Here is a 27162-nt window from a genome sequence, read left to right as displayed (position 1 = left end):
ACAGATTTTATGTTGCCTTCGTTTTTTCCTTCTGCAACACTCTTTTCTTTATGTAGCTATGAGTTTCCAACCTATATAATTTTCCTCCTTTCTGAAGAACTTCTAACATTTCTTGCAATGCAAGTTTATTGGCAACAAATTATTTCAGTTTATGTTTGTCTGAGAAAGTCTATTTCCCCTTCACTTTTGAAGGATATTTTTGCTGGATACAGAATTCTAGGTCGGTGGATTTCTTCTTATTTTTTTAACGCTTTAAATATTTCACTCCATGCACTTCTTACTTGCATGGCTTTTGAAAAGAAGTCCTATGTGTTTCTTATCCTTTTTCCTCTATAGGAAAGATGTTCCTCCCCTCACACTCTCTTCCCCCAGCTTCTTTCAAGATTTTCTCTATGTCTTTGGTTTTCTGAGTTTAAATATAATATGCCTAGGTGTATTTTTTTTTGGTATTTATTCTGGTTGGTGTTCCTGGGTATGTGGCAGCTAAAACCAAGCTGGTAGCCATGAGGGGTGGGGAGTAGCATTAAATATATGACAATTTAGAAAGATGAGTCAATTGAGCAAAATACAAAAGAAGAAAATTTCAACATACTACAATCTCTTCATTCAGAATGAAAACTCTTATTACCAGTTGTACATATTTCTCAATTTTAATATATATAAAATATTTTATTTGCTAGCCTGCCTTATCACTTATTATAAACATTTTTCTATTTAGATAAATTTTATTCTAAAGCAATTTTAATAAATACATAATATCTGATTATGGGCTACACCAAAATTTACTTAACCCATTCTCTTCTACTGGACATTGAAGCTATTTTCAATTTTTCATTGTTTTATGAACACTTACTGCAATGTTTATTCTATTAGCTAGATATACACAGTCTCACTTAAATAAATAAGACTTTTTATAGCCGGCCTTGTCATCAATGCAATTTGTTAAGAACAGTTTCCTAGATGCATATGAAAGGTTTGCATGTTCTTAAGGATTTTAATATGTGTTTATCAATCATTCTTCAAATTATCTTCCTACCAGCAGTTTATGAATACCCCACAGCACCCATATTAATAACTATCTACTCACCACAGAGTATTATCTTTGTGTTTAATCTTTGCTAGGCTGATAGCGAAATAATGTTATCTCATTGTTTTAATTTTTTATTCTTTGGTTATAAGTGCGGTTGAACATTTCCTTGACTACATCGATTGACTCCTCTAGTCATGTATTCTGCCCTTAGGACTGGGGGTAGAGTCAGCCTCATCTGAAACAGATGGACTGAGAGAAGGGAAGTGGGGGAGCCTCAGCTGAACATTGAGATATTATTATCTAAGTGGGGCAAAAATGCAAAACTTCTACCACAAAGAAAGCAAATAAACCTTCTCGGCCAGGCGTGGTGGCTCATGCCTGTAATCCCAGCACTTTGGGAGGCCGAGGTGGGTGGATCACCTGAGGTCAGGAGTTTGAGACCAGCCTGGCCAACATGGTGAAATCTCGTCTCTACTAAAATTACAAAAATTCACCGGGCATGGTGGCACAAGTTTATAGTCCCAGCTACTCAGGAGGCTGACACAGGAGAATTGCTTGAACCCGGGAGGCAGAGGCTTCAGTGAGCTGAGATCACGCCACCGCACTCCAGCCTGGGCAAGTCAGAGCAAGACTCCATCTAAACAACCACCACCACAACAATAAAAAACAAAAACAAAAACAAAAAAAACCTTCCCTCTTTCTCTCCACCTAATCAGGCTCACTAAATCCATCTAGGACTCTTTTTCTTATATGTATGGTCCTTGGCTGGCATTGGCAGAGAATGGCTAGCCGGCCTTGTCATCAATGCAATGCCATATGGTACATATTTATTGATTATACACAATGGGCAAGAAACAATAGTGGTGCTGGAGGGGAAGGAGGAGGATATCCAGAGGTTTTACACATGGTTTCACCCCTCAGTGAGTTCTCAATATTTGAAAGAGGTGGAAACAACCAAAATTCAAAGCAGAAATTAAGTGAGGACTAAATGCAGGTAAAGTAACCTGAAGAGACAAAATAAACTGGGGTGCAGGCGGGTCATTCAAGGAAAGCTTTGCAAGGCAGCACTCAGGCTGAGCCCTCCACACTGAGTTGGTTTTCCATAGGTGGAGAGAATGATGATTCTTTCACATGAGCCCACAGCATTCAATATACTGTTTCCAAATCCTTTCTCGCAGAGCTCCGTGCAAATGACGACTTGTAAATTATAGGGAATTAATTGCATCATTTATATTCCCTGCAGATCCAAGCCAGATCTGGTCTCAGCCTCTTTAAAGCAAACAGCGCGGCCACATTCTTCCCGTATGGCAGATGCCACTTCTTTCAATTATTTAAGCTCATTTGGATGGCTTGCTGGGGCCCCGGCTGCAAGGCCCCAGCACTCTGTGCAGGCCCATTCCTGGGGTCACTGGGGGCAACTGGAAGGCAGGTCAGGCAGCACCAGGCAAGCAGCCCCAGCTGTGTTTGATCTGATTCCAACTGGGAAACACTCTTTAGAAAACAACCTTCCTCATAGTTACCGTTTTTAATTTCTCCTGAAATATTGACAGGGGAAGGCCCTGGGGAAGAAAAATGAGCCTTGAGAGATTATTCACTGACACAAGGCGCAGTCACGCTCACGGCCAAGCCAGGTTGCCTTATCACGGGCTGCTCTATCCATTCCCCTGCCCAAATTCCTATCAATAACCTGCTAACAATAACAAATTGCTACCTGACACCCTCAACATTCTATTGGGACTAAGCACCTGAAGAGGTGTTTGCAATAAATTGGACTCCTTTCCTTTCCTTTCCTGTTCATATTTCACAGAGTCCACAAATATTTATGGAGTACCCGCTTTGTGCCAGACACTGAACAAGACCAAGAAGGCCCCCTCCTCATGTGAGGCTGACATTCTATGGAGGGGCCCATACCCAAGCAAAGAAAAATAAACTCAGCATCTCAGACAGTGGACCAAAATGGGGTCACAGAAGAGGACCTGACTGCGAGGGAGCTATTTCCTACTGAGTGGTCAAGGTTGACCTCTCAGGAGGGAACATCTGAGTCATAATTTGAATGAAGAACAGGAATGAACTATGTGAAGAGCCAGGGGAAGAACATTCCAGAAAGAAGAGACAAACCAGGAATGTTGGAGGCGCAGAGAAGCCCATGGAGCTGAATTGCTGTGAGCCAAGGAAGGGGTGGTGGCGTCTGAGTACATTCTGTCTCCCGGCCCTGCTCCTTCTGCCATCTTCCCTCCTCCTCCCTCTAACCCCTTTCCTCATCCCTGTCCCCTGTCCCTTGCTCAAGCCAACAAGATTTCTCTCCGTCAGCTGCTCATTCTGTACCTTCCAAACTCATAGACTTCTGGGAGTCCAGGATATTGTGTTTTTTTGAAAGTTTGACTCTTGGCAAAGAGCCAGTGCTATTTCCATCTTGTGTGGAAAATATAGAATTACCGTGAATTATATTGAAAAATTAGATTCATTCACTGCTGTGATAATTTATCTCCCAATCTGTCTCAGAGAGTTAGCAGCTGGTGAGAAAATAAAATGTGATTTAGGCAAAAAAAATCTCACTTTTAATCTATGTCTGGCAGGGAGAGAGGCTATTAAGTGAGTTTACTATTTGCCAATCAGGTGGTTTTCCTTGGCACACCCTCAAATGAAATGTTGTGATAGAGACTAATGGGTAGCTTGCTCTCCTCAGATGGGCCTTGCCAGCCGTGGGCTGTGAAGTCAGGCCCCGCTTAAAATGCAAAGCTTCCTAACCGGGGGCTCCTCCCAGGGTTCATCTCCTGAGATCCTGTTGGACTTGCTCCTGTAAGAGGGTGCACTTTATAGCACTGGGGTTTTCCATGACAGTTTCTGCCTTGAGAAAGGAGGAGAAACAGCCCCCAGTTTTAAGCCTTATTGACTTAAGGTGTTTGAAATATTCCTCTCCAACTGGTAATCGTGGCCATTTTTCTTCTCTGGAGTGCCTGATTATGTGCCCTGCAATGGTCCTGACATCATTGCATGAGTCAGAACACTGAACTAATCATGCTTTGCCCAGACCGAGTCCAAACCTCCCCGCATTGGTGAGTCGGCCCCTCACAGGAGAGGCCACTCCGGAACAGCAGGCTTTAAGTGATAACCAACGTCCCTTCCCCCACAGCATCCCGTAGTGTCAGGGCAGGCTTCTCCCCCTCCTTGCAAGGGATTCTGTCTTCTTGGAACAGAGCAACATAGGGTTAATATGACCCACTTGCTTCCTGGGGAATGAATTTTCTGGGTAGCAAGGCTGGAGGGGTGGAGATAACAATTACTGCTTTCCATTCTACCTAGCTTAGAATCCTACATCCTTGGGAAAACTGAGGCGCAATTGAGCGAGAATGTCCTAGACTGGAATCTGGACTCTAAAGATGTAGTGGAGGTTCTGCCATTTGCTCATCATATGACCTTAGGGGAAGTCTCTTTACCTCTCTTGGCTGGAGCTGCCTCATCTATAAAGTGAGGAGCCTGGGCAAGATGGGCAAGGTCCCTTCAGCTCAGAGTTTGTTAATCTGTGAATTTGTTATTTGGGCTACACAGATGTGTGCCCAGCTCCACTCTGTACGTGCCAGGTGGAGCAGAAACCCTGCATCTAAGCTTGAGCCTCCCTGGGATACTTGCTCAAAGGACCCTAACTCAGGTGACTTCAGGGAATGGAGGGCAGGTTCTAACTTGGGAAGGGTGCAGAGCAGAGGGGATCATCAACTTCTCGTGGGTGACCCACATACTGGGTACATCTGATGAGATGTCACGCTGTGGTGATGGTTTCCTCAAAGCCGCTGGGACCCTCCCGACTGGAGAGTAGTAACAGGGAGCCTGAGTGTGGAGGGCCTTCCTAGAAGTCACCTGGCCCATCAGATGTCACTCCAGGCAGAACTGTGCTTCATCCATCTCCCCAATGATCTCACTGACTTCTTGAACATGACCTATGAGGCCAGGCATAGAGAGGAAGGGTTTGATTTAAATTCAACTTGAACTTCCAGGAAAGCCAGAGCTCTCATCACAGATTCCACCTGCCTCACCTCCAGCCCTCCACCCTGGTCAGGTTAAAACTACTGGTGGAATATAAGAGCAGGGGAGGGTGTACACTGGTGCTGTAACATGGGCAAAGCTGATAAGAATGTTAGGGGATTTTTGAAAGATGGAGGCAGACGAGTTCAGAGGGAATGAGGGCAGACTGTTTGCAAGAGAATGGGGTACATCTATTTGCTCATCCAGCCACTCTTTACTGAACACTGCCTATGTGCCAAGCACTGCTCTCAGTACTAGGGATCCGCAGAAGAGAATAGGAAGGACAAGATCCCTGTTCTCATGAAGATTTTATTCTAGTTTGGAGAGACAGGCAGAAAACTAGTACACAAGTACATAAACAAGATAGTTCAGAATGAGCAGTGCTGTGAGTTGTGATGGGAAACGCACATGGGTAGGCAGGCTACTCCAGGGTGGTTTGGAAAGCTCTCCAAGTGCGGTGAGTTTTGAGCTAATACCTGCATGTCAGGAAGGAGTCAGTCCTGAGAAGGGCAAGGGGAAGAATATTCCAGAGAGGTTCTGAGATTGGGGTGGCCTGACATGCGCCCAGTCTATAGAAAATGGATTGGGGGGCTCCCATGAAGTTAAAGAAAGAGATCCTGGCAGAACTCCACTATTATCACCCCTGCCCCCCAACATCTCAGAGGGAAATCCCAGAAGCAAAGATGGTGTGGGCATGCCCAGGGGCATGGATGGATCCAGCCAGGGCTTAGGGAAGTGCCCCAGGGCACAGGGACTCACTGGGCTGGGAGCTGTAGTGACCCCAGTTCCTGACAGGGATAGGGGAAGAAAGAACCACTGCCTCCTGCCTCACCAGAAACAGCCAGGCCACCTCTCTTAGGCAAAGGACCTCACAGCATCTGACTCCCCTATCTCCCTCCTTCCTACCCCAAACTGCTGAGTCTGAGTATGGACCATCCAGTACTTTTTCAGTGAACCTAATCTTCTCTCTTCTCCCTTGTGTCTGAACCTGACATATTTTAACAAAGACCACCCTGTCAGTCTCAGCCAGAACTTTCCCATGGCAGGGTGAAGGGACAGAAAATAACCAGACATGAGGAACGAAACTGAAGTTCAAAAGAAGAGGACCATCTGAGACATTGGATAACATGTCTCCCTAAATAGTAAAGTTACTGAAAGAAGCAAGAGATAATTTTAGACAAATTTTAATTGTCCTCTCAAAGAGATTCCAAATGTCATTGCATCTATGAATCTAAAGCAGAAACTCATCCAGAAAGGTATGAAGAGAGGACAAATTAGGACAGACTAGACTAGGAGATGACACAGGGTGAGGGGGAGGAGGCTGAGCTGAATTCTGGCCCCACACTTGTTGGCTCTGTGGTCTTGGACAAGTTCTAGAGCCCATCAATCTCCCATAAATAGGGGATTTAAAATAGCACCTTCTTCATGGAGCATTGCAAAGCTTAAACAAGATAACAATGTGTGAACAGCACTTGGCACAACGTCAGGCACACAAGAAGCACCCAATGCACGTTATTCTTTTTGAGAAAGTTCATGAAAATGGAACACAACTGCTTAATTTAGTGATTACAATGAAGGCAAAGAACAGCAAGTTAGATTCTTGAGGAAACCAACAGCAAAGTGGGAGGCAAGAAGGGGGAAATTCTCCCTCATTTCAAAAGAAAAGAAATGAAAGGTGAAAATATTGAGGTTTGAAAAAAAGAGGCATCAATCACAGGGCCAGTAAATTCAAGACAGATATAGGAAGTTGAGTAGGTGAAGCTGGAGCAAATGAAGGGGAATTAATTAATCTTTTTTAGAAAAACAATCGGAACACATTGTCTGCTGTTTCTGCAGGTTGAAAGGACTTACTACACCACAGGAAAGGAAAACAGACTGACAACTAAAAACATCTCAGGGAAAAGATTGAATTTCAGAGAGAAGGAAAATGATTTGCCAAACGTAAAAGAAAATAAAGGAAGTTTATTACAAAGGAAGAAAATCAGACCAGCTTTGGATCTCTCCACAAAAGCAAACACTAGACAAGAAGCAGCAATACGAGAGGAAAAGTGTGATGGAGAATTCTGATTGTCGTTCCAGATTATCATTCCTGTGAGAGCAGCGGGGAGGTTTTCTCATACATGAAAGGCTCAGAGTACACTTGCCATGGGGCTGCAATAAAAAGAATCACTTGAAGATATGGCTTAATGCTTAAGAAATGAATTATAGATAGAATTTAACACTGCGGAAGCCATAATTTAAAGAACCGTAGAATAAACTATGCAATGGAGTCAAGGCAAAATGATGATCTTTAATGGAGTTTCATAATTTGCAATATTTTGTTTAAAAACCATAAAATAAGTTAATGCTAACCCAGCTCTAATAATCTATATTTCTTTTTTCTTTTAAATGAGAAAAGGGAGTAATAGGAGGGAAGCAGAAGTTTCCTAGATTTCTTCTCTTTCGTAAGTATTGATAAAGGTTTCTGACATGAAGTAGAGAGAATAGTCATTTTTAAATTAAAAACAACTTTTTAGGACAAAAACAGGATATAAACTCCAAATTCCTGAGGCAAAAGGAAAGGCAAATACACAGAAAATGTATTTCCATAGAGCAACCACAAAAAAATTGAAAAAAAAAACAGTAAGCAAGCATAAAAACAAAAGCTTAAAATAACAAAGACACCTTTTTTTATTGTGACAACAGATATAAATGAGCTAAGCTCTCTTGTTAAAATTAAAAGACTCCCAATTAAATGATGAATTGAAGTCCGTCCAAGTTTATATCACAGAAAATTTAAAACCCTGCTCTAGGACATGAAAGGAAGTGAATTAATGTCAAAATATACCATGTTCCTTGATAAGAAGTCTCAACTTTTTAAAGATTTGATTTATTTTTAATTAATTCAAAAATAAAACAAAATTCTAATAAACATTCAAATAGAATCTTTTAAACCATGGCAAAATGAATTTTAAGTTATTCTGAAAAAATAAATATGGGAAAAATCCAAATAAAAATTGCAGCAGTAGAATAAAGGAGGCACTTATTTTTTGATATTAAAAATATTTTAAAGGTGCATTAATTAAGAGAGTATGGTATAGGTGAAAGAATGAAAATATCACTGCAACATACTAGAAACCCTCAGAATAGACCTACGTAAGTAAGGTAGTATTTCATGACACTGGGTAAAGAATAGATGATTATCATGCTGAAGTAAGTTGCTAATTATTGGAAATTAACAAAATTGATCACTACATCATAACCACTACCTAGATGAAGTTCAAATGTTAAATGTAAAAGATAAAAGTACAAAGTAACTGAGATAAAACAGTGGTAAAACCAGGATAAATATTTGCTTGATCTTTGGGTGAAGAGGGGATTTCTAAACCAAAAAGCAAAGGAAGAAAAAAAATGCAATTTAAGAAAATGTAGGACTTGACTACATAAATATTAGACAACAAGTTCTCTTTACCAAGAAGTTCATAAATCAAGTTTAAAGGAGAACAAACAAGACCAGAAAATGATATCAAACACACATGCATGCACACACACACAGGTTAATGTCCTGACTATATAGAAATTAATATCAATTAGGACAAAAGTAAGCACTCAGCAGGAAAAAACTTGACAAAACACACAAACTGATGAATTACAAATAAAGAAACACAAGTGGCAAAGCAACATATGAAAAAAATTCCACTTCACTAGTAGACAAAGATATTCAAATTCAAATAACATGTCTATCAAATTGAAAAAGATTAAAGTACATATATTACTGAGTGCTGGGTAGAGGGTACAAGAAACAGGTACTCCTATATCAAAACCCTTAAAAATATTTATAATCTTGGGTGTAGATATTCTCTCCCTAGGAATGTATTCTAAGGGAACATTCAGAAATTTACATTAAAATTAACTACAAGAGTGATCTTTACAGCATTTTTAAGGTGGGTCAAAATGGATGATAAGAGGCAAATCTAATATTTATTTATTGAGCATGTAAAATGGTCAGGCACTCTGCCAAGCCTTTCACATGCATTATCTCATTTTATCCTCAAACAGCCATGTGAGGTACATCCCATTATTATCTCTGTTTTACAGATGAGAAGATAGGGGATTAAAACAACTCAAATGCCCAGCAAAAGAGGATGATTATACATATCATGGAACAAAAATAATATGAATGTAGTAAAGCCATTTAAAACCATATTTCTCAAAGAATACAGACAGAAATCACTAAATGTTCACAGTACATTTGTAAGTCTGTGTGTGAACACGGTACTAAGCATATGGCTATATGATTTTGGAGAAAAGCATATATAATATATGTGTATCTCCCTAGGAAAAAAAGGACAAAGGGATAAAGAAAGAAGCAGAGAAAGAGAGAGAGGAAGAAAGAAAGCTGCTAGCATGGTTTTCTCTATTTAGGTTATAGAATTATGATAATTTCCTTCTTTTTGTCATCCTTTGTCCTCAAATTTTCTTCAATGAACATGCACTTATAGAATAAAATAAAATTTTATTTTAAGGCGGGGATAATTGACATCATTTTCAAAGGTTTTCTTTTTAAAAGAGAAGAAGGATTGCTTTCAGATTTACAGTCAAGCTCTAATGGTTTATCCAAGGTTTCTGGGGTCACTAAAGTTCTCAAAGCTACCTGATCCTAGAAGAGGAACAGGACTGATTTATTTACCTTGTAATAATTCCACCCTTTGGTCCAGAGAGACTCAGGCTTAAAAGACATTCCTCAGATCACTAAGTCCTCCCTCTGGCTAAGAGTTTTATTTTGAGGCTGAAGCCCCTTGTACATTTTCCCAGCGAAAGATATATGTCCTGATATTCATGGTTGCATATTGATATGTCTGAATGCCTCCAGCTCCACTCCAGCCGGGATAAAAGTGACAAATGCATGGCATTGTCTCCAGAATTTCCACAAATGAATATTTTCACTAATAGGAAATAAGAACCCCCAAGTTCCTGATCAGGTTATTGCAGCAGGTGATTTGGGCTATAGAGAGACCTAAAAGTAGAAGTGGATGTTAGGGTGTCTGTCTAGGCTGGCTGGTTTGGGGCATGCAGCCACAGTGATGACCACAGGTGGATCTGTCACAGCTATTCCTAAGGCCATGGCTCACAGGCAGCGGGTAGGGCTTCATAAATCTCAAGGGGTGGGGGTTCAGATCAGCAAAATTAAAGGCTGCCTCTCTCACAAATAAAGCAAAGGGAGCACAGAAAAGTCTCCTGCTGGCAGTATAGTTGTGCATGTTTCTATTTGATCTTTCCACTCATGAGCTCATGCATTCATTTATTCACTCAAAAACTAAACACTTGAAATGTACCAGGCAGTGGGAATACAGGGATGAACAAAACAGTAAAGTCCCTGCCTGAATGGAGGTTTACACCCTGATGGAATTAGATTTACAATAAACATGTAAACATATAAACAAACAAGTCGACAAGCAAATAAAAACAGATAATTTCAAATAGGGTAAGTCCTCAGAAGAGAATAAAACAGAGTAATGGGATGGGAAGTGACAGGGGGGTTTGTTTTCTAGGGAGGCAGTGGAAAGCCATACCAGGTGACAGTTGAGCTGAAACATGAATGGGCAGGAGACGCAGCCACTCTAAATGGCACTCAGCTTCTTTATTCTCCTTAGCCTGGCTCCACCTACCCACCAAGCCCACTATTCCAGGAATCTTCCCTGGCATTCCCAGCACATACTATTGCCTCCTCCTCAGAGCTCCCAGGCTGTGCCACCAGACAGTTCTTCCAGTGATGTGTGCATGTGTATGGGAACATGTGTGTATGTGCAATGTGTGTGCATGTTCTACCCTTCTGCTAGACTCCAGGGTCCATGGATAAGCTAGCAGTGCATCCTGTGGATAGTGTACAGCTGAAGGGTCCCACTTCTTCCCTGGCCTTGGCCCAGACCCCTGTATGCAGCTGCTCACAGGGTTGATTTACCTGACTCTCCCACAGATGCCTCATGCTTTGAACATCTAGTATGAATGAGGAGTTGGCAGCTGGACACTGCCTTGCCTGCAGTCTGATTCTGGTTCTGAGGCTCTATGAAATACATGAGTGGCAATAGTAAGTGATTCTGCTTTTAGCATGCAAGTGAGAAGCCTGAGGTGTCCAGGGATGCCTGTAGAGGGCCTTGGAAAAGAACATACTGGAGCTCCCCTACTGCCAACTTATGCAATAGCTTTCAGCCTCAGCCCCATCCCTTTTTCCTAGTCAGCCTGGACTAGGGATTTTTCTCCAGTTGGATACTTGGCCAAGAGTTGGCCTTTCGGACAATGGCCTCATTCCCAAGGATTCTGAGTAATGGAGGCAGCAGTTTGGGCAGGGGTAAAGAGCCCAGTTGACATTTTCTATCTATCTATCTATTATCTATCTATCTATCTATCTATCTATCTATCTATCTATCTATCTATCTATCATCTATCTATCTATCTATCTATCTATCTATCCTGAGAAAGAATCTCACTCTGTCACCCAGGCTGGAGTGCAGTGGTGTAATCTTGGCTCACTGCAACCTCCGCCTCCCAGGTTCAAGTGATTCTCATGCCTCAGCTTCCCGAGTAGCTGGGACTACAGGCACACACCACTATGCCAGGCTAGTTTTTGTATTTTTAGTAGAGATGGGATTTCACCACGTTGGCCAAGCTGGTGTCGAACTCCTGACCTCAAGTGATCTGCCCACCTTGGCCTCCCAAAGTGCTGGGATTATAGGCATGAGCCACCGCACCTGGCTCCAGTTGACACTTTCAATATACACAGACATGTTAGTGCCTAACAGTCCCCTGAGCCTGCCGGGCTAGCCAGGCTTTCGCTGAGGTTGTGAGAACAAAGCAAACTGAAGCACACAGGTCCCCAGGGGAGGAGATGAAAGGAGTCCATCAGGCTCCATGTAGCCCTTCAGCATTAAACACTGCACTGGCCTCAGCTCTTGATCCAGACTCTGAGCTCTTCTCAAGGTGCCCCAGCCATGTCAAAGAGCCCAACAGCCCACATCTTCACAATCAACTTGCATGAATCAGGGGGATGGGATACAATCATAGGTGTGAGACCCAGGGAAAATTCACTTCAGTCCATCAGCACTTCTGCAATAAGTTCCGAGGCTACAAAGAAACTGTGTCTGCCTCTGGAGCTACCATCCACATGAGAAGACAGACCTGGGAACCAACAATGCAGGCAGTGCAATGCACTCCTCTAACTGAAGTGGGTAGCAAGTGCACTGACAGCCCAGACAGGCCGAGGAGTCTTCCTCAGGGGATGGGGGCGGGGACCAGGGAATTGAAGACAGAAGAACACCTCTGAGCTGGACCTTGAAGGATGAGTAGGACTTCAAGGAGAGAATAAGAAGGGAAAGAGCGCCTTAGGCACAGGGAACAGTATGAGCAAAGGCAAATAGCAGAGCATGGCAGTTAAGCAGAAGAACTTGAGCCAAAATGTGAAGGCTGGAACAAGACTCTGCCCCTTACTAGCTGTGCGACTCTGGGCATGTTAACATCTCTGTGCCACAGCTTCTTCACCTATAAACAAAACAATAATAGTACCAATTGGATAGGAGTGGAGATTTTAGAAGTTAATACACATAAAGAGCTCAGAAGAGTGTCTGGCACACAGTAAGCTCTATACATGTATTAGCTACTGTTGTTGTCATCGACATTGTCTTCGGACAGCTGCCCAGTGTGGACTCAGTGAGGCTGCAGGTGTATGTGTGGTCAGATGTAAGACTGCAAAGGCAAACCAGCGTTAGACAGTGAAACTGTGAATCCATTGAGAATTTCAACCCTTCTCTCCCCTGGATGTATTTTCACAAGCAGGCCAGAGGTGCAATTAACAGGAGGCTTACAAGTGCCCATGTCCTGGACACCTGGAAGGAAGCCCCTCAGAGCAGGAGCCCAGCTTCTCCCTACTCTAACCATTCAGCAGGCTCAGTCTGTACTCCAGAGACCACTGGAGCAACTACAAATGCTCCCGCCTTGGTCACGAGGGCCCGAGAGAGAAAGCACAGATTTATTTGTCCAAACCAGACAGACTCTGGTGCATCTGAAGGACAGCCTGGAGCATGGTGGGGTGAGAGGGGAGAAATTGGGTGGGGTTAGAACCTGGCTACTGAAGGAAATCTGGAAACCTGAGGGCAGGATGGATTTGGGCCATTAGGAGCCAGTCAGTGGGTGAGCACCAATCAAGAAGTAGAAAATCTAGGATGGGGATCGGCAACCCTAGAGGGAGGCTTTGGCAAGAAGGGAACTGGATGCCAAGGCCTCAGCCGAGTGGCCTGGAGTTCAGCGTGGACTTTGGCCTCAGAGGAGAAGCAAAGCATCTGCGATGCTTCCACCGAATGAGCGGGATGCTGGGGTGAAAGCAAAAAACACCCTTTGCTTAAACTTATCCTTTTAAATTCCACTTCCCTACCTCTTGGGTGAAATCTTCAGCTGATCTCCTAATGTGGGCTGGTCACACCTTTATAATAAAGTCTTGTGGTCACCTTCGGGCACCAAATTATCTGGTTTCAGTAGTTACCATATCCAGTGCAGTGTAGTAGTTAAATCTCAAAGCTGTATTTAAAGTGACAGTTCTTCCCTCTCCTGAGATTGAGCCTGCTTTGGGGGAGTGGGGGCAGAGGCAGAAGGGTGAGAGGTTGCTTCTCCATTCCTCTCTTTGCCCATCCCTCCCTCCACCTTCACCCCTCCCCAGGCTGTCAGTGACTCCTCAGGGATAAGCAGGAAGAGGGAGAGAGAGAAAGGTCAGGCCTTACTGGACTGGCAGTGATTGGCATGGATTCTCTCTGGGCTTGAGTAATGTACAATGCTAACTCAAGGACCCTTCTTGGGAAAATTCCTTTTGACGATGTCTCCAGACTAGTTGTCTCTGTGAGTCCACTTGACTCCTGGGCAACCTGGCCTCCACGTCACTCTGCTCTGTTGGTATCCCCAGCGCAGCCTCCTTCACCCCATCAGCTGAGCCTTGAGCTTTTGCTTTAAATGAGTGTCAGAAACCAGAACATTGTCTCCCTCTATTTCCAAGGCACACATATCAAGCTTTCCAAGAGGTCCCCTCGGAGCCTCCTTCTCCACTTGGCTTAAGGTGAGGGGGATTGTACCTCCCTTCCCTGTGGGGTGGTGGTGGGCACACAGTTCACAGACAGCTCTCTTTAATAAATCACCCCACCTCTCATCCTCCGACATTCAAATGTGACCCATTATACCTTTGAGATGGAGGGTGAGCTAAAAATCTCAAAACTGGTTTTGGCCACCCCTTCCTACCTGCAGGTCTACCTGGAGGATCCAGCATGCTGCCTGCCTCCTCTCTAGAGTAAGAGGTCCTGAGGGCAAGGATTGTATCTGGCTCACTACTGTATTCTTAGATTCTTGAGCTGCACTTAGCGTTTAATTGGTGTGGTTGCAGCATAATGGCCCACAAAATGTCCTAGTACCCGGAAGCTGTGAATATGTTGAGTGACATGGCGAAGGGGAATTAAATTTGCAGGTGGAATTAAAGTTGCTAATCCTCAGACCTTGAGAAGGGGAGAGCATCCGGATTTTTTTCAGGGGGGCCCAATGTAATCACTAGGGTCCTTATACACAGAAGAGGGAGGCGGAAGATCAGAGTCAGAGAGAAATTTGAAGATGCAGCGCTGCTGGCTTTGAAGATGGAAACAAGCCACCAGCCAAGGAATACAGCCTCTAGAAGCTGCAAGAGACAAGAAAATGGATTCTCCTTTATACCCTCCAGAAAGAAATGCAGCCCTGCTAGCCCCTTAATTTTAGCTCATTTAGAACTTCCGACCTAAATAAGTGAGACTCATTTAGAACTTCCGACCTCCAGAACTGTAAGAAAATACGCTAAATGTGTGTCTATTTGTTAAAGAAGCTGCAGAAAACTAATACAATTAATGCTCAATAAATGTTGGTTGCATCATGAAACTACATTGAATCAGAAGGTTGCTTAATGCATATGGAATTTGAGCAAAGCAAGGACAAAAATCTGCAGGGTTGTGTCCTCCAGGCTCTGCTGAGTCAGCTGAACCATCCATGGATGCCCCTTCTGCTCACTTCGGTAGCCACGTCAGCCATGCTCGGAGGTGTAGCCCATGGACGGTGCTAGATCAACAGTGCCAGTTCCTCGTTTGCAAACTTCTCCCTTTCAGGTCTTCCTGCATATCACTCCCTTCTGCAATTTTGTTGCTGTTGTTTGAAAATTATAGAAGTAATATATGCACCTATCATTTTTTTCTTGCAATTTAGATAAATATTATAGAGTATTATAAACATGAAAATAGATGTCCCCCATCTCCTAACCCCTCATTTCTGATCTTCAGAGGTAAATTACTGCTCTTTCTGTGGATCCTTTGACACTTTTTTCACCTATATAACAGCATACATTTACATAATTATTTGTGTACTCACACACAGAAAGTATTTTGACACAGAATAAAACACACTGTAGATGTCGTTCTGCAACTTTCTTTGTTCATGTAACAGTGTATCTTGAATATCTTCTTCTATTAGCACATATAAGTTCACTTCATTCTTTTTAATGGTTGCATGCTAATCCATTGTTTGCTATAATTTGTGTAACCACTGCCATAGTGGCATTTAGATGGCTTGGTGTACAATCTAACAGATTCTTTAATATTTCATTACATTCTTTCAAGACCACATACTCACAGGCATTTTATGACTTTCAAAGGCCCTAAGTGCACATTTCTGGAGGTTCTACCCCACACCACATCAAACATATTTAAATATACCCACATCCCACATCAAATATAAATTTTTGCTGTAAAAATTGAGGGGATTTTTATGATTTTGCTTTTAAAATAATTTGGCTCTGAGTAACTAACCTGCAAATAGCTTTTAAGTGTAAAGACATTTTTATGAATATTAAATTTAACAATTAATGAAGGTGACATAATGCTATACTTCATAGGCATTTACATAAACACATTCATTTTGATTTTGCTGCTTTCTTTTTTCATTTTGAAGTCAATAGTTTCCTTTTTCATGCCTCATATTTTTCTTAGGGCTTTGAGAAGCTTGTAATCCCTAGAGGAGATGACTACAGTACCCAAGGGGTGCAATAACCCTGTGTACACGACCCCTTGCTGGATGCCTGGGTTTACTCTTGAGGTGAGTGGGTGAGAGAGCTGGGGTGTGCTCAGGGCTGGCTCACCAGGGTCCCCTAGGTGGGTGTTTCCCAAGGTAGCTTGAGGCAGCAGAGCAGGGTGTGAAACTGGAATGGATCGTAAAGAGAAGCCAGCCATAGCTAAGGAGAGTAAGGGACATCACCCGGGATTGGTCTTTCATGAAGGAACAAGACAAGTCAGGACTTGGGTGTCCCCAAATTCCTCATGCACATATTCCAAGACTGTTGTCTCCCAGAGGCTTGATTTTATTTGTTGTTACGGGGAGAGCTTCCCTTGTTCACCTCTCAAAAGGTGGCCAGATCTTCAGGGTCTGGAGATCTCTAACTCTGCTCTGATGCTCTGACTGCCCTAAAATTGGAGCAGGCGATTGATTGCTTATGCAGAGCTGGCTAATGGGCAAATGAGGGGTCTCCATCAGGAGGCAAATTTCCCCATCTGCATTGCTGCATGTGAAAATGTCATACTGATCAGAGCAGTAAATGCTCAGGAGGGAAGGGCAACATAATGACAGAGACAATTTGGCATCTCATTTAATTTCCTCACACAAAAAATTAACATTTTTGGAAAGATCGACTTTCTCCATGGAAATTCCTCTCCAATGTAAGCACTTGCTCAATGATGGGCTATTATAAATGCTTATGATCATGAGGATGAGATTTCTATAGCATCTGATGCTGTTATTACTTTGAATGAAATCACTGTGAGGACAATTTCAGGTCCCACAAGAAGCTCTTAGCTTTAAGAAGTCCCTGTGGATCAGAACACAATTTCCATAGCTCAGTAACACAGACAGTGAAGAATCCGGGGCAGAATTATGGGGCAGGGGCACAGGGAGGTGGAGGGTGTGGGATGCTGTGTGACCAAGGAAACACAGCAATGGGTCTAGACTAAGGCTCATAACTTTTGGCTCCTGGATTATCCCATCTGGGATAGGAAGGAACTCACAATTTCAGGCACATACAGTAGTTCCCTAGTTTAATCCTAACAGACTCGGTGGGGCTCTCTGGGAGCCTCCTGCTAGGGTCCGATTGTGCCTACATATTATTTTTCTTGGCAACCATCAATGTGCATCCTGTTTCTCCTCTCCACTCTAGGTCACTATGGGATGACTTCTGATATTCACAGTAGCAAACTGATCAGTTCTTGCAGCAATACGGCAGATACCAGTGCTTCAACCAGAGGAACTGCCAACTCTAGAGCAAGTTAATGCCACCCAACATCAAGGATATCTACATTGGTGTTTTCTCCTTGTGGGAGAGAATGCTGTGGTCTTCCACTATCATTTTTTTCTTATTGAAAATCTTAAATTTTTAGCTAGACTTATTGCCATCCAGTGAAAAGATCCTACTTCCCAGTAGTCCTTGCAGCTACAAGCAGCTGTGAAAGTAAGTTCTGACCAATAGAATTGAAGCAGAAATGCAACGTGAGACTTCAAAGACATCTTAAAACAATGAAGGTATACCCTTTCACTTCCTTTTCCCTTCCTCCTTACTTTGTCTGGAATGCAGGTGTGATGGTTGGAGCTCCAGCAGCCCTCCTAGACCATGAGCTGGCCTTGAGAATGGAAGTCACCTACTGAGAATGACACAGTCTTGCTCCATAATGACACCAAGGAACCACCACACAAGTTTGTTTAAGCTGCTTTCATTTGGGGTCTTTATATGTAGTTGAAACTTACACTGATACACACTTGTTGCTGTAAAAAGTCCTGGTTCCAAAGCACCTAGAAACCATACAGCAAAAGCACTGTGAAGCTGTTCACTCTCCATGAACGTCCTTTCACCCTGTACCCAGACAGAGGTTCATGAAATTGAGTGGCACTGAGCAATAGATGAGTCACTCTGCTAGGAGCTCCCCCTTCTCATATCGCCCCATGGACCACTCACCACTTTATGCATCTCACCCATTCTTTCCTTGGGGTGATTCACTTCCCAATAGGCTCCTCTGCCTCCCATCAAAATAGATCTCTAGTGGACGAGCCTCAGTATTCATTTGGCTATGATTTAATTTTGGGGTGAATACTCTTCATGATAAAGCTGCAAGTTTTGCTATACTCTTTCCCCTGTAAAGTACATGCAGATCCTACCTAATTTCTGGCCTTCATTCAAGATGCCTTTCTTAGAAAGACCAGGAGAGGGTTAGACTTCTTGCGGGCATGCTGGTCTTCAGCTGGAATCCCAAGGCACAGAGCGCTCACGTCATAATGAAGGGTATGACCACATGTGTGGCACTTTCTTCTGTTGTGATCAGGCAGGTTTGACCTTGGGTTAGTAAGTCCCCCTCTGTAGTAACTGTGATAGTTAGATATTTGCTCAACATGTAATTTCTCCTCCACCTTTGTGAGAGGAATATAGCCTCCCACCCCCTTGATGTGAAGCTTGGCGATGGGACTTGTTTGACCAACAGAATCTGGGTAGCAAGGAGCGAGGTCCAAGTGTTAAGATGAGATACCTTAATACTTTTCTGCTTGGCCCTCTGGGAGCATTCAACTTACATGATAAGAACATTCTGAGCTCCAGAATAAGATGCATGGGGCAGAATTTCTTCAGTTGACCTACAGACCTAGGGTCTGAAGCAAGGGCACTCTAGCTAATCTACAGACCGGCAGCTTGAAAATAGGTGCAACTCCAAATAAACGTAATAAATATATACTCTTCCCTTACAACAGCTCTAGTTCCACTAGTTGTACCAATCAGTGACTCCTGTTTTCAGCTACTACATTTGTGGGGGTTTGGACGTAGCATGATTTCAGGAAAAGCTTAGCCAATACAGTGAGAAATCTCTTTTATGCCTTATAACAGCTCTCAAGTCCTTGGGTGGAAAGACACCTTCAAAATCCACGGATGTGAATTCAGACTTGTAAATACAGACAGAACAGGCCCCACCCTTTCTCTGGCATTCTCTGTCTCTTGGTTTCTCTCTTTCCTGAATGCGAAAAGGGGTGGCTCCAAAACACACCCAGAGAAGAGTCTCTTTCCTCTGATTTGCTGCTGTCTCCTTCCAAGACCCAGTGCTCTCACGTTCTCTCAGCAGCAGTAGATTCTTTTCAAACCACCCTCCAAAATGCAGCCAGAGTTGTCTTCTGAGAACAACCAAAACACAGCCAGAGTTGTCTTCAGAGTGGTTCCTGAGACCATCCTGTCTGATCATGTCAGTCGTATGCTTGCAATCCTTCAGTGTCTCTCCACAAGTATTTAGTGAAAGTTTCCATGTCTTAAGGCACAAAGCTCTTCATGACCTAGGGCTTGCCAGCTCTTACTACTGTTCTCCTTACCCACCAGCCCCTCCAATTCCAGATCTTGCCAGCTCTTACTACTGTTAGGTCTTGCCAGCTTGGTCTTGCCAGCTCTTACTACTGTTCCCCTCATTCACCAGCCCCTCCTATTCCAGAGAGCTCCTCACACTTTCCAGAAGGCATCATGCTGCTCTCTGTCTCCACACTGGTGCACATGCCATTTCCATGGCTTGGACACCCTTCCCTTATTCCCTGGGGTGTGACTGTCTCAAGGTGACAGTGATATGATTGATGGAAAGATGCCAATAGCCACAGGAAAAGGAAACATGTTCCTTTAATATGAAGTAGAAGATACAACTACACACAGACCAACTCATAAAGCCACGGGTACAGAAGCAGGCACAGTCTAAGAGAGTGTTAGTTAGGATATACTTTAGCAGCTGTAGCAGAGAGAGCTGAATTCCTAATGCATCCATCAGAACCCAGCTCAAGCCTCCCTAAAGCCTTCTTTGGTTTGCTCTGTGGCTCACTGCCCAAGGCCTGATTTAGAAGCCCATTACCTGGGCTCTTCAGGGGCCTATCACTTATCGTGGCACTGGTCTAACCAGGTTCAAAAGCCGTTCTGGGATCTCCATGTTGCAGGTGCTCAATGCTTACTTAGTGAGCACCTGGGCTACTTGAGATGGGCATGGGAAACGTAGCAACATGCTTGGCTGATGTGTGCTGTGACCTGGAGAACAGGTGCTTTCCATAGACTTAGAACTGTGCTCTTTAAACTGCCTCCCTGCCTCTGGGCTTCTCTCCATAATGCAGCCAAAGCGATTTTCTACTGCACAGAGTTGGCCGTGCCACTCTCCTTAAAACCTTCCAAGAGCCCTCACTGCTCTGAGGCCAGCAGCTGAACCCTTCAACATGGCTCACAAACAAAGGTTGCCATATTTAACAAATAGAAATCTAGGACACCCATTTATATTTGAATTGCAGATAAACATCAATTCTTTTAGCATAAGTATATCTCATGCAATATTTGAGATATACTTATATTAAAAACAAACTTGTTGCTTATATGAAATTCAAACTGAGTATCTCGAATTTTATTGGCAACCCTGTTTACTTTGTCTATGTCCCTGCTTTTTTCTGCAGCATCCTCTCTCCCTAAGCATCTGCCTCAGACCTACTAAACCTCTTTCTTCCTCTGGACTTTCTATCATGGCGCTTCTGTGAGAATTAAATGACTTAACACATGTCAAGTGCTTAGAACAGTCCCTGTCCTAAGGGACTTACCTGGCTCATGGTGGAAGACATTGAAGTTTCACTGTGATTGTTGTTGCCCACTCCGACGGGCACACCCGCCCCAATCCCACTGCTCCACTTGGCCAGATTAACTCTTACCCATTCTATAGCAAAGTGGTAATCTCAGATTATCAGCCTCTTCTTTGGGACTCCTTTTCCAATTGTTCCTTGAATGAGATTGGAAGTCCTTGGTGTATACTCCCAAATGCCTTGTACTTCCCCTACAACAGCTCTTACCTCACTTGGTCATGTTTTCTTAGTCAGCTTTCCTACTAGACCATAATGTCTGCAGAGAAAGGAATCTCTATATTGCTCATGTATCTGCCCTCCGTGCCCTGCAGAGTGCCTGGGAAAAGAGGTGGTATTTAGTATATACTGAATGAATGAACAGCACCCCACAGCCCTCTATTTTTTAGGAGCTGGTTTCCTAAATAACTCAACCTCTTTGTGGTCAAGGTCAAGGGAGATTCTAACACTGCCCAGCTGAAGTGCCCATTCCACTTGGGGTGCTCAGTCCTGGTTCTGAGAAAGGAGGCAGACAAGCACTGTTTCTGTTTCAGTTCTGCCTTACCACCTGCAAACCATGTGTATGGTATCAAGCAGTTTGCTTCTCTCCCCTGAATTCCGGTGTCCTTATCTGAGATCTGGAGTCAATAAAATCCATCTGGACAGGCTTTGGGGGAGAATTAACTATGAGGTGATGCTATGCTTGCAAAAAGACCCGGCACATAGCAGGGACCAGACAAACATGAGTCCCTGCTATGGGCTAACTAGGGCCTCCTTCAGAGAAAATAAAAAGTTCGGAATCATGTGACCAATATCTGGTCAGTTTGCATGAGGCAGTGTATTTCAGATCAGAATCAGGAAACCCTACACTTTAAAGATGAGAGGGGAAAAATGTGAAAGGAGAGAGGCCACGTCTGCAGACTTGAGAGAGAGAAAAAAGGGGCTGGAAGCAGCAGATCAATCATCAAGGTGAAAACTTAAAAGACAATTGATTTTCCTCCTTGATGTCCACGTTTCAAGGACCTTGTTGGGCTCCTCCTGGGAAATCGACTTTGAGGCTCATCTGCCATGGAAAGACATTTCCTCTGAGCTCTGTTTCCAGTGACTCCCAGGATCCGGGCAGGGAGCAAACAGCAGGGTCTCTGGAGATCAGCAGCTTGACCTCAGGGCCATCCTGGCTCTCTTTCCCCATAGCCCAGAGAGTGTCCAGAGTGCTGCACCTGGAGTCACTGCCCCTGAATTCAACCCACTTGCCCTGGCTGTGTGGCCTTACAAGAGCCAATTCACCTGCCTGACTGACAATTGCTAGAAAAGCTTCAGGGTCTTGATGGTCAGAGATAAATGGACAGGATAGGGAGGAGCCAGATGATAGGAATAAGATGTGCCTTTGGGGAGCTGGGGAGGCAATGTTTTCCAGGGTGGAGTTCAAGAAACAAGCAAGGTAAGAGGAGTGGAGCCAGGCAAGGCATAAGGAAAGAGTGGACAAGATAGAAAGGTCCGCAGTGCTTGCCGGGAGCTGGGTAAGGCACCTATGTGGGGCAGGGTGCGAATCTGGTTAAAAGCCCAGGGTCAAGGTTGACCTCTGTAGCTCTAACCTTGTAAAGATGGCATGAGGATTACATGTGGTAATGGATGGAAAGCCCCTGTCACATAGGGCTTGATGAATGGGCTGAGTCAGAAGGAGAATATGAATCAGGCGAAGGACAAAATAATCCAATCCAGTTCCTCTTCCCTGTCCACACAGCACCTGCAAGCAGCACCTAACCCTGTTTCCTAGCCCCAGGTGCCCTGTCTATGGGCACCTCTCAGCTCAGCCTCTGGGGATGCCCTCCTGGCCCTGGGGTCTTGTGTGTTCTCCCAAAGGGACTGAGCTACTCCAGAGTAGTCCGCCCAGGTTCTACTTCCTTACTGCCCCTGCCCAAGTCTGGTCGGGTCCATAATCTTGTCCCGTACACCAGAACTGGCCTCCTCTGTGACCCACCAGGTGACCCAGAAGCTCACAAGCCTGTACCCTTCTCAAAGGGCCTAATCGTGGAGGTTTACCTGCCCCTCCCCATCCCAACCCCACCTGGCCATGACCTTCATTCAGGCCTTACCACTGACCCCTAGACTTGGCTGCAGCCTCCTCACAGGCCTCCCCAACCCCAGACCCTCCCTCTCCGGAGTCCCTTCTTTTCATAAGCACCTGAGAAGTCTTTCTAAAACATAAGTAAAATTTTATCACTCTCCTGCTTACAGAAACAGAAACAAAGAACAAAAATATTTTTCTTTTGTTTCCCATCACCTACACAGGAATGCTTTTAGTTGTTAGTGTAGGATTTTTGTTTTGTTTGTTTGGAGCTCTTTTGTGGACCCGGCGTGCAAAAGGTCAAGTTAATCAAGGTCAAATAATCCTTGGTCTGTGGGGGACTAATGTCAGGATCTTTCTGATTGATGTGTATTCTCTTTTGTCACTATTCTCCCTATTATAGGCAGCCACACACACATGTTGTATGGGTATCCTTGAGCTTGCATGAACCTTTGGAAAATAAGAATTGTTTTCATCTGCATAAGCAATAGTGTATTAAGACCTTGACGTGTTTCTTATTTTTTCATTCACTGTGTTAAATTCTGTTCATGTTGGTGCACATACACTTAGTTCCATCACTTCCACTGCCTTGCACGGACACTAAGCTCACCTCCAGCTCTCTCCCTGACAAATCGCATGTGCCATGCATATTATTGTACATGTCCCCTTTGGATTGGTGTGAGAATTTCCATGTGGGATTGCAGGTTCATAGGGCATATACTTCTCTGCAGTGTCGCTGCACCAGTCCCCACCCCACCAGCCCAAACTCCAGCACCTTCTACTCCCTCACTGCCTCTCCAGCCCCATTTTCTGCCACCCCCACCTGAAGTTCCCATTAACTGACATGCTCACTAATTCAATGAAGGTGAGTGTTTTTGAAAGCCATCTAGCCCAATCCTCTTGTTTTACAGACTAGGACTCTAGGGCCCAGAGAGGGGACATGAGTGGCCCAACTTCCCAAAGCTTAGAAAGGCTTACGTAGGGGAGCCTCTGTCTCTTCATAAACGCTACTCAAAAGCAAAAGTTTTCTTCCACTTTTCAGAAGCAGAAAATAGAGTTCCAGAGACACAAAGTTAGAAACTTTGGGTCTCATGGAACATTAGAAGGAAAGGGGAAAATTGTGGCTCATTTATCCCTGAAATTGCCTTCTTCCCTGATGTGTAAGGTTAAGCAAGGGCTGCATGCACCTACAGGGTAAGCAAGGGCTGGATGCTAGTGTCAGAGGAATCTGGGGGGTTGTGCTGCATTTGGGCTCACTTCATGTCATGTACAGCAGCAACATCCAGGGTCAGATGGCCCACACCACTGCACTCACCTGGCCCCAGTACCAGCCTCTGAGGCCTGGGTGATCTGATGGGCCTTTCGTCAGCCTGATCTTTGTGAGGATTCAGCTAGGGATAGCATATTTAGAGCAAAGTTTGTCTCCATGTAGTCGTGAATTATCCCCACAAATCAAAGCTGGTTTGGGAAACCCAAGGCAAAACTTAAGTCAGGTTAAGCTTATAAAATTGTTTGGGGACAACAGTAATATAAATGAGCAGGCTCTTTAATACATTTAAAATGAAGTCATTGCATTTTTCATGGGGTTTTCATTTCCTGTTCCCCCTCTGCCTCCAGGGCATCAATCCCACACTGAGAAAATGTTTGGGAAGCAGAGGCTAGAGTGGAGAAGAAAGTGATATTGTGGCTGGCTTCCCCAGGGCGCCTCTTCAGTCAGATCTACCCACAGGGGCCCCTACAGTGGTCCCCACACTGAGTAAAAAAAGAGAATTACCCATTTGGACTCAGGACCACTGGGTGCCCACCGTCTTGCACACCTAGACTGTATCACTTTCCAGCTTCTGCAAGGAGAGCCAGGGCATTTGTCTCCTGTGCGGCCCATACTTTATGCAAGAGCAACCACATTCCACCTCCACACCTCCACCTCCCCTTAGCTCCCCAAATCCACTCACAAGTTACAATTTAATAGGCAGATCTAATCTCACCAAGATTCCAAAGTATTCCAGTCAATGCATCCCAACTCTGCTTGTCTCTGCCTGTCCACAGCCTCCTCTTCTTCCTCCTCCCAAGCTGTGCCACAGCAGAGACCTGTCAGAGAGGAATCAGAGGTTCTCCCCTGTTTAGCTTTGGCTTGTTTCATTGGAATTCTCAATGGAAGAATGCAAAGTCTTTTTATAGTCTCCAATAAAATGTAGAGGCTAACGGTTGACAGCATGGCCTTTGGAGCCAGGAAGCCCAGATTTTTTGTCAGCTGTGTGAATTTGGGCAAGTTATTTAACCTCTCTGTGCCTAGATTCCCCAACTAACAAAATGGGAGTACTAATACATACCTACCTATTAGCAGTACTTCCCTCACAGGCTTGATTGTGGGATTTAAATATGTTAATGCCAATGGTAATATGATAAGAACATGCTTGGCTTGTGGGAAGTGTGAGGTTAAGTGTTAGCTACAATGAGGATGATTGATGAGGAGGAGGATGAGCAGACACAGACGGCAAAGAAAGATGTAAATTGGTTGAATTGCCAAGCTCTGTACCATCTTCCCCACATTATTCTTGGAGCTCAGAGATTCTACACATGTGCAAAAGAGCCTCCAGAGAACCAGTACTAACCTGGCCAGAGTGAAGTAATTTCCCTGCTGAGGTTGATGATGGATAGATATTCTAGACATATTGGAGGGTGGCACTCATGAGCAGATATCTGATACCAGACTGTTGCCAAGATGGCTGGGGCTTTGCCTTCTTAGGACAGAGAATTAGCACCCTCCACCCCGCAAGGTGCTCTAGTCTCCTGCTACTCAAAGTGTGGTCCAAGGATGAAGGACATGAGTTTCCTCTGGAAGTTTCTCCAATATGCAGAACCTCAGATCTGTCCCAGGTCTGCTTAATCAAAATCTGCATTTTAATAAGAGCCCCAGGCGATTTCTGTGTACACTAAAATTTGAAAACTGCTCTTGTCATCCAAACGCAGGGGAGTGGATGTGGTGACCTTCCCTTTCTGCCCCCACTGGACTGCATGAGCCACATATGGAGGGACGGTGTCTGTTTCATTACTCACCTTGTCCTCAGAATTGAGCTTCCTTCCTATCACACAGGGAGCACTTGTAAATTCTTGGCAGTAGATGGATGCATGAGAAACTGAATAGGTGAATGAGTGAGTGCATGACCGTGGGCTCAGAAGCCCAGTGTCTTGGTTTCAGGTCCTTGGTGAATAGTGCCGGCATATCCCAGCAGAAGGCAAAATTGGTGGACCAGACTAACACCTCTGCAGCACCGAATTCACTGCCAAGATTGAGCAAGACTGGCTTGAGAGACTTGAGACTTTCAGTAGTGTGCAGCAGGGTAGAGCTAGGTCATGCAGGAACTGACCTTGTGTCTACCACATGTCCCTGCTCTCAATACTCAAGTGGCCCTGGCAAAGAAGGAAATCAGGTCAGTCTGACATGACTTATTCTAAATGCACCCAGGCAGACCAGCAGTGAGCCTCGCATCCTTGTCTGGGCACTCACAGTCCAGTCCCTACAGACACCGGATACCCTTTTCTGGGTTGAGATAATGGCTTATAGAACTTGCCCCCTATGATGACTGAAAATGTGAATGACATTTACCTGTTTCCAGACTTCCAGTCACTTCCAGACTTGCATGATTCCTTAAATATCAACAAACTGTGGCTTGGTAACCATCTTTGCGAGTGTTTTAATAACTCTAGTATGTGGCTTGTCTGGGCCAATGGGCAAGGGACAAACAGGGTAGCTCAGTGTTTGATTGTGACACCCTCTTCTCCTCTTTTGGATGTCTTTTATCCCTACTAATCTTTATTCCAACCAGCACAGTCTAAAGATTATGCTAAAGATCTGCCCAAAGATATTAGGGGCTGTTTGTAATCACCTCAAAGTCTTAGAAGATCTATGGGCAGCTCAGAGAGACCTGCGCTCTTCAGATATTTCTTTGTCTTACTCCCAGCCAGCCGTTCCTCCTGTGATCACTCAACTACAGATCTTTAAGAATGGAGCAAAATGGGATGTGCTCAAGATTTCATGACAAACAGAGCAGGGCTTGGATCCCAGCTGGTGAGGGGCAGACAGCAGGGGAGAGCAGCTGGACACAAGGGGATTCACTTGTGAAATGTGAGAGTCCTCCTTTCCTCTTACCTTCCATCCTGCCCTGCAGGTCTCCCCTGCACTGCCTTGAAGCAAACCATTCTTGCTCTGCCTTTGCCCATGTGAGCTGGTAAGGGTGGCAGACAGGGTGGTTGCCAACCCTCAATATCTGTTCCCACCCCTGCTTCCCTCCTTTTCAGTGGAACCCCTATTTTGTTGGATATCCACCTTCCCCAACTTGCCCATGTGCCTTGGAGGAAGTGGACACAACCC

The 27162-nt window shown here is 44.3% G+C and overlaps 2 annotated features.

Annotated features, from left to right (window-relative positions):
* Window positions 21158-21227: an enhancer, noted in NCBI's record as "active region_714". NCBI's record gives its function as "activates an Ori minimal core promoter by ATAC-STARR-seq in GM12878 lymphoblastoid cells {active_cell/tissue: GM12878}" and the evidence as "EXISTENCE:reporter gene assay evidence [ECO:0000049][PMID:35858748]".
* Window positions 22294-22343: an enhancer, noted in NCBI's record as "active region_713". NCBI's record gives its function as "activates an Ori minimal core promoter by ATAC-STARR-seq in GM12878 lymphoblastoid cells {active_cell/tissue: GM12878}" and the evidence as "EXISTENCE:reporter gene assay evidence [ECO:0000049][PMID:35858748]".

The sequence above is a fragment of the Homo sapiens genome, chromosome 1 (assembly GCF_000001405.40).
Source record: "Homo sapiens chromosome 1, GRCh38.p14 Primary Assembly".
Lineage (NCBI taxonomy): Eukaryota > Metazoa > Chordata > Mammalia > Primates > Hominidae > Homo > Homo sapiens.
The sequence above is the reverse complement of the archived record's forward strand: the minus strand, read 5'-3'. Positions and strand labels throughout refer to the sequence as shown.